Source organism: Homo sapiens, chromosome 18 (genome assembly GCF_000001405.40).
Source record: "Homo sapiens chromosome 18, GRCh38.p14 Primary Assembly".
In the NCBI taxonomy this organism is placed as follows: domain Eukaryota; kingdom Metazoa; phylum Chordata; class Mammalia; order Primates; family Hominidae; genus Homo; species Homo sapiens.
The window spans coordinates 9,334,470-9,347,953 of NC_000018.10; the positions used below are offsets into that span (position 1 = coordinate 9,334,470).

Consider the following 13,484-nt stretch of genomic DNA (forward strand, 5'->3'; position numbering starts at 1 on the left):
GGGGTGGGTGCGCCTGGGGGCGTGGCCTGCGGGCCGGCGGGCGGGCGGGAGCCTGCGGTGGAGGCGTGGCACGAGGGAGGGGCGAAACCGGGTGGCGCGGAGGGGGCGTGGCGTTGGGAGGGGCGGGGGGAGTGGGCGGGGCCGAGATGGGGGCGTGCGCGCTGACAGGAGCGCCGGGGGAGTGAGAGACGCCTCCTGGCGGGAGCTGGCGGCTGTGGACCCCAGCGGGGGCGGAGGGGAAGAGGGGAGCAGGGGCGGGGAGCAAGGAGCCGGGAGGAGGGCGGCGGGCGGGCCTGTCTCTTTAAGGTGCCCGAGGCTCGCGGGCGCTGCGCTGAGGGGACGGCGGGAGGCGCGGCCTGGCCTCGCACTCAAAGCCGCCGCAGCGCGCCCCGGGCTCGGCCGACCCGGCGGGGATCTAGGGGTGGGCGACTTCGCGGGACCGTGGCGCATGGTGAGTGGGAGCGGCTGGGGGGTTGTGCAGCCTCTTGGCCTCTTGGTTGGGAAGGGGCCGGGCGCCGAGCTCGGCCCTCTAGAGGCCCGGGGCCGCGGCGAGCTTCGCGGGGGCCGGGAGAAGCCTGGGCCCGGCTGCGCGGAGGACAAAGTGGGGGTGCTGGGCGCGGGCGCACAGGCCGGACGCCGGGAGCCAGCAGCATCTCTGCGCCGCTTTGGTCCAGACCATCTCTGGGCCGGCCCGCGTCCTCCGCAGCCCGCGTCGGCCGAGCCGGGGTGGGGGTGGTTCCGGGTGCCCGGTCCCCCACACCGCTACCGGCCTCTGCCTCGCGGGGCGTCCGGCGCCTTCGGGGCCCTGGCACCGCTCTACAGAGGCTCGGCTCTGCCCTGGTCGCTGTCAGTGCCATCTCCCTTAACGAGAAACTTGGGCGTGATGTATGCGAAACAATTTTGATGCATGATGGTTTCTAACTCCTTAGGAAAAGATAAGTCCTTTAATTCTATTACCTGATTTCGACATGGTCGTAGTTACTTGAATACTTTTTCCAGTGAAATTTGGGGAGTAAGATGAATTTGTGGAACATTTCATAAGACAACCGTAAAAGATGGGAAAGGGGGGAAATCCCAGTTTTCATGGTTGTAGGATGAAAACTAGTTCCACGACAGTTAGTCTCCAAATAACCTTATTTGGCCTCCGCAAATATGTACTGGTTGCTCCAGAAATCATCCTACTTGGTATGCGGCGTTAGATACATTAGAAAATTAGTTACTAACGGTCTTTAGGGAATGCTTTGTGAGCCTCAGTAACGATCACCAGGGTTTTCTCTTTCAAAATTGACTCATACCAGGTCCAAAGCCCTTTATTCTTTTCACCCTTTTATTATTTTTCCTTTAATGTACTTTGTAACACTTAGAATAAAAGTTTAGAGTAATCATAAATGCCCCCATAAACTCACTATTTATCCCTCTTACGTCAGTAGTCATTTATTTTAATTTATTATGTTTGATAGGGAGGTGTTTTAACCTGAAGAAATGATATCTTCCCGTATTTAAAGTTTAATAACTGTATACTGTTTGGCCCCTGTCAGACTGTGTTTGTGCTAGTCTTTTTTCCTTCTTCTTTTTGAACTGTAGTATCTTCTTAATAACTTTGAAGAATGTGTGGTACTAATAGAATTAAAAGAATATCTTGGCCGGGCGCGGTAGCTCACCCCTGTAATCCCACACTTTGGGAGGCCGAGGCGGGTGGATCACCTGAGGTCAGGAGATCGAGACCAGCCTGGCCAATATGGTGAAACCCCGTCTCTACTAAAAATACAAAAATTAGCGGGGCGTGGTGATAGGCTCCTGTGATCCCAGCTACTCGGGAGGCTGAGACAGGAGAATCGCATGAACCCGGGAGGCGGAGGTTGCAGTGAGCCGAGATTGCGCCACTGCACTCCAGCCTGGGCGACAGAGCGAGACAACGTCTAAAAGAAAAAAAAAAAAAAGAATATCGTCACATTCTAATAATTACCTAGAGTTTTTAATGCAATTAGTAATTAAACAGCCTTTTGTTATTTGCTCAATTATTTAAGAAGTGACTCTGTGGACTCTACTTCTTGCTTTGAGCTGCTTTATTCTGTCTAAATAAGCCTGAATAATTTCCATTTAAAATTTTGTTTTGATTCTAAGAATTAAAATTAAATATCTTAAAATTATAATACAATATTAATAGTTTTATATGGGCTTACAGTTGAATAATGGACCTAAAATTAAAGTTGAATAGTAGCAGTGCAGTATTGAAGCTAGTTATTTGCCTGATATACTCTCAAGTTACTGAGGGTTTAGATATACTCACTCTACTTTCACAGTCACCATTTCTGGATAGTCTGAGGAACTGTAGAGTTCTAGGTCCTTGAAGATGGCTATGAAGCCATTATTATACAAAATTATTGTTTATTTTTGAATGTTTATATAATCTTTCATTGAGAATGATCTTTAAATGATCACTCAAAAGTTTTTTGAAGGCCAGGCATGGTGGTATTGTCTGTAGTCCCAGATAACTGGGAGGCTGAGGTGGGAGGATCACTTGAACCCAGGAATTGAAGGCTGCAGTGAGCTATGATCACACCACTGTACTTCAGCCTGGGCAACAGAGCAAGACTCTAAAAAAGAAAGAAAAAGTATATTGACACAAACAATGAGTCTTAGTTTATGTTTTGTTTCTCATTTTTATATTTGTTTTTACCCTAGCACTTGCCTTTGAATTAAAGTTGTGTTTGTTTGTTTAGTTTCCTGGGAGTTACTGATCATCTTCTTTGAAGAAACATGAAGTTACACTATGTTGCTGTGCTTACTCTAGCCATCCTGATGTTCCTGACATGGCTTCCAGAATCACTGAGCTGTAACAAAGCACTCTGTGCTAGTGATGTGAGCAAATGCCTCATTCAGGTAGGACTAAGAGTACTTTTATTAATATCAAAATATATTGTAGAGCAGAAACATTATGTTTATATACAGATATAGAGTGCATATATCATATAGAGTAAGACCTGAGTATTGGGTCAGGGCCTGAGGTACTGAATCATGACACACAGGTCTGGATTTTTACCCTCATAGCAATCAATATATATAGGCAAGGTTAGATTCAAGAAGTTCAATACTGAGTATAATATCCTGTTGTATAAACATGTCATTACAAGGTGATGAGCACTCTATTCAGATGATTTAATCTGTGTAATCTAATTAACATAGCAAAGAGGTTCAATGAATGTATTTAGAAAAAAAATTAGCTGGTCAAATAATAGATAAATTGTTACCCTAAGTATGATGTATTAGTTGTCCATTGCTATGTAACAAATTACCCCAAAACATAGCAACTTAGTGCAATAAACATGTATTATTTCATGCAGTTTCTGAGGGCCTGGAATCTGGGAGCAGTTTAGCCAGGTGGCTGTGGCTTAGGGTCTCCCACAATGTTGCAGGCAAGTTGTTGGCTGGGATTGGACAATCTGCTTTCAAGATACTTCGAAGTTATATCTCTTCCAATCATCAAGGCAGGCCTCTTAATGTAGCCACCACTCTCATTTTTCTGGGGAGAAAAGTAAGAGGAAGTAATGTGGCTAAGTTAACAGGCTCGTATTGAACTCCTGATTAGCTTCCTTTCTAGTTGCAGGCTGTGCACTCAGAAATTCAGTAGCCACACACATTAGCATTCTATGTAAAGTATGAGTCAGCTAACATGACTGTAACCCTCACTTGAGAGTAATTGTGTATATGTGCTAGAGTGACAATTGTTTTTATACATCAGAAGCATTTTGTGCTTATTTCTGACATTTTGGTCCTTCTCGCTAATAGTTGGAATTCTACTTGCCCCCATTTCGTACTCTGATAACCCTAACTTTGCATTTCAAACCAAAACATTTAACTAGAGAAGTGTGTTTGCTGTTCAGTTTTTAACTTTTTCGCTGTGGACATTTTCAGGTATAAAAGGAGAAGAATATAATGAACCATCCATGAGTAGTTACTGCAGTCACTACCTCATGGCTACTCTTATTTTATCTATACCCTCCTACATTATTCACTCCCAGCTGTTTTAATTTCAAGCAAATCCCTTGATACTGTTTTGTTGATAATTCTAATATGTATCTCTAAAAGAGAACTCTTTACCAACATAGCTATTAGACCAATTTTACAGTTTAAAAATTAACACTAATTCTTTAATCACCTAATTTTGTATGTGGAAATCTTAATAAGGCACGCCTGCTTAGGCTTGTGTTGGCTGGAAACTTTGTGTCTGCAAATGAAGCCCAGTTTTGTGCTATGGTCAGATGAGGAGTCTGTGGTACCTCCCAGATTGTTTCAATGTAGCTTCATTATTCATTATTCACAATAAAGTCTCATAACATTTGCTGTATTCATGTTTAGATGGAAATTCTCTTAAATTCCAAATTATATTCTTGACTCTTCAACTCTATAACTTGCATTAGTTCAAGTAATTAAAAATTGTACTTTGGCCATGCACAGTGGCTCATGCCTCGTAATCCCAGCACTTTGAGAGATTGAGGCAGGAGGATCACTTGAGCCCAGGAGTTTCAGACCAGCCTGGGAATCACAGTGAGACCCTGTCTCTACAACAAATAGTTTTTTTAAAATTAGCTGGGCATGATCATGTACACCTGTAGTCTCAGCTACTTGGGAGGCTGAGGCAGGAGGATCATTTGAGCCCAGGAGGTTGAGGCTGCAGTGAGCTATGATTGTGCCACTGCACTGAAGCCTGGGTGACAGAGCAAGACCCTGTCTCAAAAAAAAAAAAAATTGTACTTTATTTAAAATACCTTGCTTTTAAAGGGAGTATTTAAAAGAGAAAGCTTTTGATTAATATGGGTAGATACTTGTAAAGGTTTTTTTGTTTGTTTGACTCTTTAAAAATTTTTTGGCTCTATTACAGCTTACTACAGCCTTGACTTCCCAGGCTCCAGCGATCCTCCCATCTCAGCCTCTGGTGTAGCTGGGACTACAGGCACGTGGCACCATGCCTGGCTAATTTACTTTGTATTTTTGGTAGAGACAGGGTTTTGCCATGTTGCCAAGGCTGGTCTCAAACTTCTGAGCTCAAGCGATCTGCCAAGGCTGGTCTCAACCTTCTGAGCTCAAGCAATCTGCCACCTCGGCCTCCCAAGTGCTGGGATTACAGGTGTGAGTCACCGTGCCTGGCCATTAAAAAAATTTAAAAAATTACAATTACAAAAATTAGCTGAGCATGGCGGTGCATGCTTGTAATCCCAGCTACTTGGGAGGCTGAGGCAGGAGAATCACTTGAACCCAGGAGGCGGAGGTTGCAGTGAGCTGAGATCGTGCGACTGCACTCCCACCTGGGCGACAGAGCAAGACTCTGTCTCAAAAAAAAAAATTGTAAAAAAACAAAATACTTCAAAATGTAAAGAGTACTATATCAGTGTAAAAAAACTGGAAAAGCAAATGGAGCTTCACCTAACTCAAATGGTGATTCTAGTAAACAAAATCAGCTAGGACGTATTTTCAGTCACAAATTCATGGATGCTGACATTTCTGATATTCCGTTGTAGCTTCAGAGCCAGGAAACATCAAACTTTTTTCTGGAGTAGTGGACACAACTATCCTGGTGGATGGTAGACTACTTGGATTTAGAAAAGATCTAGGGCTGGGCCGGGCGCGGTGGCTCAAGCCTGTAATCCCAGCACTTCAGAAGGCCGAGGCGGGCGGATCACAAGGTCAGGAGATCAAGACCATCCTGGCTAACATGGTGAAACCCCGTCTCTACTAAAAATACGAAAAATTAGCCAGGCGTGGTGATGGGCGCCTGTAGTCCCAGCTACTCGGGAGGCTGAGGCAGGAGAATGGCGTGAACCCAGGAGGCGGAGCTTGCAGTGAGCCAAGATCATGCCACTGCACTCCAGCCTGGGCGACAGAGCAAGACTCCATTTCAAAAAAAAAAAAAAAAAAAAAAAGAAAAGATCTAGGGCTCAAATATTGAGGATTTTCTTGTTTGTTTATTCACAAACATTTATTGAGTGTTGAAATGAAATGTGATTAGTTCCACTCTTCACCTAGTTTTGTGGACTCCCAAACTCTAGCAGATTATTTCACATTCTGATCTTTAGTTTCCATGTGTTCCTCTTACTATGGCTGTGTGGCAAACCACCCCAAAAACCAGTGGCTGGAAACAGCATTTATTTTGCTCACGAATTTGCATTCTGAGCAGGGCTCTGCGGAAGAGTTCATCTCTGTTCCACGTGGCATTAGCAAGGCGGCTTGAAGGTGGTGGGGGTGGAATTATCTGAAACAGCACTATAGATAGAGCTTTCTGCGATGATGGAAAAGATCTACATCTACCCTGTGCAATACAGTAGAATCTAGCCATACGTGGCTACCAAGTACTTGAAATGTGACTAGTATGGCTGAAAATCTGATTTTAAATTTAATTCAATTTCAATTTCATTAGCTGCATAGCTGCATATGACTAGTGGCCACGTATTGGACATTGAAAATCTGAAGGCTCACTGATAAAGTCTAATACCTGGGCTGGGAAGATTCTTCAGGTATACGTCTCTTCCTGACTTCTCCTCCCCTTCCTCCCTTCTCTATCCCCATCTCCCTCCCTCTCTCCCTTTCACTCTCTCTGTGTATATATGTGTGTGTCTCTGTGATCCTGCTATATGATCTCTCCTGCAGGTCCACCTGGATTTAAGTGGAGGGAACATAGGCCCCACCTCTGTTGGAGGAGTGACAGTGTCATGTTGTAAGCTGAACATGTGGATGGGATATAATGGTGTGGCCATCTGTGGAAAATACACTCTGCCACATATAAACTGTAAAGTGAATTGGCTGGCTAGGTGAGCTCAAAATTTTCTTCTAGTTCTAGGCAGTTTTAAAGAAAGAAACCAACTAGTATGTGTCAAATGTTCTCTTTTTTTCATCAGAGTAATAAATTATTAAATTATTAGAAGGCTACATAGTGAAAAATTGAATCTCTTGATCTAATTCTCCCTACTCATTCTATTACCCTGGGAAAACCGCTTTTAATCTAACTCTTATATTTTTACTTCTGTTAGTAATTTTTAGCCATATGCCTAAATAATATGCTTGTACTACTATTTCTTGATTCATCAGTTTTAGATGTTATATATCTAAAATTGCCTTTCTGCTATAACAGATAAGGTCATAGCTCATCATGTCATCCTTCCCACTCCTGCCCTGCCACACTTGTATCACAGTTTTGAGTTTATCTCTTGGTTATTTTTTCAATTTCTTCAATATATTTAAGGTTTTCTATTCTGTTCTATCAACTGGAGACACTATCTCTTTATTCCTGATGTAAGTGGAGAATATTAATAGTCCTTTCCTTTTAAAGTTTATTTTATTTTATTATTTTTTTTTTTTAGCAATGAGACAGACTATAAGTGAGTTTTAAGAACAGTGCATTTCTTGAGGGAATTGAAGAGAGGGTTTGTTTGGGTTCCAGTCTTGGGAGATCATGTGAAGCTACCATGTTTAACATCATAGAAAGCAAAGAAATCAGTTTTTTCCCTTGCATTTATGAGTACTGCCCTTGAAATTTTCTACTTTTGGCATTCTGATGGGCTACTTTTGGAATTCTGATGGGCTGCATCAAAATCTGTGGGGAACGGAGTGTTACCTGTACTTTTACTTTTATATTGTCAAGGTTGATAACATCTACATTCTGAGAGGCTGCATAGTATAATGGTTAAGCGTATGAACTCTGGAACCAGGCTATCTGAATTTGGATCCAGTTCTGCCACTTACTGGTTGTATGACCTTGGGCAAGTTAGTTAATCTCTCAATGCCTCAATTTCCTCATCTGTAAAGCAGGGATAATAACCATACTGTGCGAGTATTGTGAGGATTAGGTGTAAAGTATTTAGAGCAATGCCTGGCACGTGAGTGCACTATAGGTAATTACTAACCTTATTTCTCTGTTTTGTAACTCTATTTGAATCTTCTAATGCTTTATTTACAGGTATATTCTAAAACTGGCAATAAACCATGTTTATATTGTAATGATTATATAAATATTGTTGACTGTTGACTGTAGTCACATAGGTACTATGATTACATTTCCCTTCTTGAATGATTTTGTTTTTCTTGAGTTTCTAATTATCTTTCTTTACCTTGTATCATCAATCATTAGCACCTTATATTGTTTTAAGTACTTAATGTATTTTTCCTCCCAAATGGAGCCTTCAGTCTTGATGTTTCCAGACTTAACTGATTGCAATCTAGGTCTGATGCAAGCTGTCTTATGGTGACTTTCCATCATTACTTTCCCAAGTTGGTTCCAGTGTTTCTTGGATTTCGTATCTTGTTGTTTTTAACAGTAACCCTTATTTTGTCCCAACATGCCCTCAAGTAACTTCCTAAGAAAGCCTGTGTGGAAAGTAAGCTTTCTGGGTCCTGCATGTCTTGAAGATGTATTTATTCTCACCTTTCACCTGACTGATGGTTTGCCTGAATACAGAATTCTATGTTAAATTCTTTTCCCTCAGAACTTTGGAGACATTTCTCTATTATCTAATAGCATTCCATATTGCCAATAAGAAGTCTGATGCCAGTCTGTTTCTTATTCTCTATAGGTAACTTTGTTATTCTCTCTAGAAACTTTTAGTATCATCTCATTAGCCTTCATATTATGGAATTTAAACTGTTGAGTCTAGTGTTGGTCTTTTCATTCATTCTGTTTGGTATCTTGTGAGTCTTTTGGGGATCAGTTTTGAGCCAAAGACTAGGAAATGCCCTGTTTTGTTTTTTGTTATATATATATATATATATATATATATATATATATATATATATATATATATCTTGTCCTAACATACATACATATATAATATATACGTTTTATATAACTATATTTTTGTATAATATATAATTATGTATAGTGTCCTCTTTTCTTTCTGGAACTCTTATTAGTATAAATCTAAGATGGATTCTCTGTTAGATTTTTTTTAAAAAACAGTTTTATTGAGATATATGATTCATATATTATAAAATTTACCCATTTAAGGGTACAATTGAGTGGTTTTGGCATATCGACAGACTTGTGCAACCATCACCACAATCTAATTTCAGAACATTTTCATTACTTTAGAAGGGAACTCCATACCCTTTAGAAGTCATTTCCTATTCTCTCTCCCCACAAACCCTAGGCAGTTTACTTTCTCTCTACATGCTTGTTCTGGACATTTAATATGAATGGAATCATACCTTGTCTTTTGTGTCTGACTTCTTTCATTGAGCATAATGTTTTCATGGTTCCTGTGTGTTGTAACATATTCAGTATTTCATTCCTTGGTCAAATAATATTCTGCTGAATGGGCATACCACATTTTATTTATCCATTTATTGGTTGGAGGATATTTGAGTTACTTATATTTTTGGCTATGGTAGATAATACTGCTATGAATATTCAAGTTTCAGTGTGTGGATGTATCTTTGTTTGTTTTTTAAGAGATAAACTGTGTTACACAGGTTTGTTTACTGCCTGTGCACACAGGCAGTGGTGCAATCATTGTTCACTGTAACCTTGAACTCCTGGGCTCAAACGATCCTCTCACCTTGGCCTCCCAAGTAGCTAGCACTACAGGTGTGTGCCACCATACCTGGCTAATTAAAAAAATTTTTTGTGTGTGGAGACAGGATCTTATTATGTTGCCCAGGTTGGTCTTGAACTCTTGTCCTCAAACGATCCTCCTGCCTTGGCCCCACAAAGTTCTGGGGTTACAGGTGTGAGCTGCTACAGACAACCCTGGATGTATCTCTTAATTTTTCTTTTGTATATACCTAGGAGTAGAATTGCTGGGCCATATGGCAACTCTGTGTTTAACATTTTGAGGAACTGCTGAAGTGTTTATTCTAAAGTGGCTGCACTATTTTACATTCCTACCAGTTGTGTATGAGAGTTCTAGTTTCCCTATAGCCTCACCAACACTTATCTTTCCTTTTTATTGTAGCACCTTTGTGGAGTGGTTATGATTTGCATTTCCCTAATAGCTAATGATGTTGAGCATCTTTTTATGTGCTTAGTGAATGCATGTGTGTGTGTGTGTGTGTGTGTGTGTGTGTATGTATGTATTTTTTTTTTTTTTTGAGAGAGGATCTTGCTCTGTCACCCAGGCTGGAGTGCAGTGGTGCAATCACGGCTAACAGCAACCTCAACCTCCTGGACTCAAGCAATCCTCCCACCTCAGTCTCCCAAGTAGCTGGGACTATAGGCATGCACCACCATGTCTGGTTAGCTTATTGTATATCTTTGGGGAAATACCTATTGAAAACCAGTGCTCTTTTTTGTGTGTGTGTGTTTGTTTTAGACGAGAGTCTCATTCTGTTGCCCAGACTGGAGTGCAGTTGCTCTATCATAGCTCACTGCAGCCTTGAACTCCTGGGCCAACACGATCCTCCTGCCTCAGCCTCCTGAGTAGCTAGGACTACAGGTATGTGCCACCACACTCAGCTAATTTTTAAAATTTTTAAATTCTTTATAGGGATGGGGGGTCTCACTGTATTGCCCAGGCTGGTCTTGAACTCCTGGTCTCAAGTGATCGTCCTGTCTTGGCCTCTCAAAGCGCTGGAATTACAGGTGTGAGCCACCATGCCCAACCCAGAACCTATGCTCATTTTAAAATTGGCTTGTCTTTTTATTGTTGAGTTGTAAGAATTCTTTATATATTCTGGGCTCAAGACCCTTGTCAGATACATTATTTGCAAATATTGTCTCTCATTCTGTGGGTTGTCTTTTCAACTACTATGTATCATTTGTATCACAAAAGTTTTACATTTTAATGACATCCAATGTTTCTGTTTTTTTCTTTTGTTACTTGTGCTTTTGGTGTTGTATCTAAGAAACCATTACCTAAGCCAAAGTCATAAAGATTTACTTGTATGTTTTCCTCTAAGAATTTTAGAGTTTTAGGCCAGGTGTGGTGGCATGTACCTGTAATCCCAGCACTTTGGGAGATGGAGGTGGGAAGATCGCTTTAGCCCAGGAGTTCAAGCCTGCAGTGAAGTAGGGATCCAACTTTATTATTTTGTATATGGATATCCACTTGTCCCAGCAACATTTCTCCCCCACTGAGTTATATTGCCACCCTTGTTCAAAACCATTTCACCATAAACGGTTTATTTATGGACTGTCAGTTCTATTCTATTGGTTTATATCTCTATTTTTATGCTAGTACCACATTGTCTTGATTATGTAGTTTTGTAGTATGTTTTGAAATCAGGAAGTCTGAGTTCTCCAACTTTGTACTTTTTCAAGATTGCTTAGGCTGTTCTGGGTCCCTTGCATTTTCATATGAATTTTAGAATCAACTTGTCAATTTCTGTAATAAAGCCAGCTGGGATCTTAAAAAAATATATAATAGACTTTATTTTTTGGAAAAGTTTTAGGTTTACAGAAAAATTGAGCAGAGAGTATAAAGGGTTCCCATATACCCATTCCCCCCACATATCCCCAGTTTCTTCTATTATTAACATCTTGCATCTGTGTGGTATACTTGTTACTATTGATGAACCAATATTGATATGCTATTATTAACTAAAATCTATGCTTTGCATTAGCATTAACTCTTTGTGTTTTACATTTTTATGGGTTTTGACAAATGCATAATGTCTTGTATCTACCATTACAGTATCATTCAGAATAGTTTCATTGCTCTAAAAATCCCCATAGCCAACCTCTTCATCCCTCCCTACCTCCCCCCAGTCCCCTAGTAACCACTGATGTTTTTTACTGTCTCTGTAGTTTTGCCTTTTCCACAATGTCATATAGTTGGAATCATACAGAATGTAGCCTTTTAAAAGGGGCTTCTTTGACTTAGCAGTATACATTTAAGTTTCCTTTATGTCTTTTCATGGCTTGATAATGCATTTATTTTTATCACTTATTATTACCTAATAATATCCCATTGTATGAATGTACTTACTGATTAATATTGCACTCACTGATTAGTATGGATGTACTAGAGTTTGTTTATCCATTCACTTATTGAAGGACATCTTGATTGCTTCTAAGATTTAGTAGCTATGAATAAAGCTTAGCCAGGCATGGTGGCTCAGGCCTATAATCTCAGTGCTTTAGGAGGCCATGGCAGGAGGGTCCCTTGAGGCTGAGAATTCAAGATTGTAGTGAGACCCCCATCTCTACCAAAAGAAAAAAAAAGTCTTGAGTGCTGGTGTGCACCTGTAGTCCTAGCTAACTGGGAGGCCACAGTAGGAGGATGGCTGAGCCCATGAGTTCAAGGCTACAGTAGGTTATAATCACACAACTGCACTCCAGCCTGGATAACCAAGCGAGACCCTGTCCCTATAAAATAACATAAAGCTGCTATAACCATCCATGTGCAGGTTTTGTGTGGGCATAAGTTTTCACTTCATTTGGCTAAATACTAAGGAGTGTAATTGCTGCGTTGTAGGGTAGGACTATGTTTAGTTTTGTAAGAAATTGCCAAACTGTCTTTCAAAGTGGCTGTACCATTTTGCATTCCTACCAGCAATGAATGAGAGTTGCTATTGCTCCACATCCTCACCAGCATTTGGTGTTTTAAGTGTTTTGGATTTTCACCATCTAAATAGGTATATAGTGGTATCATATTGTTTTAATTTGCAATTCTCTAATGACATATGATGGAGAGCGTCTTATACTTATTTGCCATTTGTATACCTTTTTGGGTGAGGTGTCTGTTAAGAATCTCTGGCCCATTTTTTAATTGGGTTGTTTACTTTTTTTATTGTTGAGGTCTCTGTATGTATGTTTTGTATAGCAGTCCTTTATCAGAAAAGTCTTTTGCAGATATTTTCTCCTAGTCTATGGCTTGTCATCTGATTCTTTGGAGAGTATTTTTTGCAGAGCAGAAGTTTAAAATTTCAATAAAGTCCAGCTTATCATTTATTTCTTTCATGAATTGTGGCTTTGGTATTGCCAGCTAAGATTTAATAGGGATTGCATTGAATCTGTAGATCAATTTGGGGAGTACTGTGTTGCCATCTTAGCAGTATTATGTCTTTGTTTCATGAACATGTGTGCCTTTCCTTTTATTTGGATTTTCTTTCATTTCTTTCAACAATATTTTGTAGTTTTCTGTGTATTACATTTCTTTTGTTAAATTTATTTATCAGTATTTTATTCTTTTTGATGCTATTGTTAGTGGAATTATTCTCTTAATTTCATTTTTGGATTGTTCATTGCTTCTGTATAGCATATTAGCTCTTTTCTATCCCATCATACCTTCTTACTCTATATTCTGGGAAATTTCCTGACCTTACCTTTGGACTCTTTCTATTGAATTTTTTAATTTTAGCAATAACTTTTACATTTCAAGAGCTCTTATTTATTGCTTGTTAATTTTTCCTATTAATATTATTTACTTGTTTTTTTTGGATGCATTATTTTCCTCAGTGTCTTCAAGGATACTTATTGGAATTTTTTTTGCTGGTGGAGGAGGTGTGTGTCCCCTTCCCCCAACTCTGTTACCTGGATTATCTCTTTCGAGATCTTT

General features: G+C 40.3%; 1 protein-coding gene across 2 annotated transcripts in view, besides 4 other annotated features; it reads left to right on the forward strand.

Moving 5' to 3' along the window:
- Positions 5-794: a silencer, noted in NCBI's record as "silent region_9282". NCBI's record gives its function as "represses an Ori minimal core promoter by ATAC-STARR-seq in GM12878 lymphoblastoid cells {active_cell/tissue: GM12878}" and the evidence as "EXISTENCE:reporter gene assay evidence [ECO:0000049][PMID:35858748]".
- Positions 5-1,092: a biological region, named in NCBI's record as "H3K27ac hESC enhancer GRCh37_chr18:9335059-9335559".
- Positions 304-13,484, forward strand: part of TWSG1 (twisted gastrulation BMP signaling modulator 1) — a 67,648-nt gene continuing 54,467 nt past the window's right edge. The window contains exons 1-2 of one of the 2 annotated variants that reach the window (NM_020648.6): positions 304-451; positions 2,724-2,883. In NM_020648.6, the coding sequence (NP_065699.1) occupies positions 2,761-2,883 (123 nt within the window). In that variant the 5' untranslated portion in view covers positions 304-451; positions 2,724-2,760. Of the gene's footprint in view, positions 452-2,723; positions 2,884-8,541; positions 8,565-13,484 lie in introns of those variants that run through there. The other variant, XM_047437675.1, reaches the window with a different exon arrangement.
- Positions 592-1,092: an enhancer, noted in NCBI's record as "H3K27ac hESC enhancer chr18:9335059-9335559 (GRCh37/hg19 assembly coordinates)". NCBI's record gives its function as "activates a minimal SCP1, AML or CMV promoter by ChIP-STARR-seq in naive H9 embryonic stem cells {active_cell/tissue: H9 hESC(naive)}" and the evidence as "EXISTENCE:reporter gene assay evidence [ECO:0000049][PMID:30033119]".
- Positions 855-904: an enhancer, noted in NCBI's record as "active region_13073". NCBI's record gives its function as "activates an Ori minimal core promoter by ATAC-STARR-seq in GM12878 lymphoblastoid cells {active_cell/tissue: GM12878}" and the evidence as "EXISTENCE:reporter gene assay evidence [ECO:0000049][PMID:35858748]".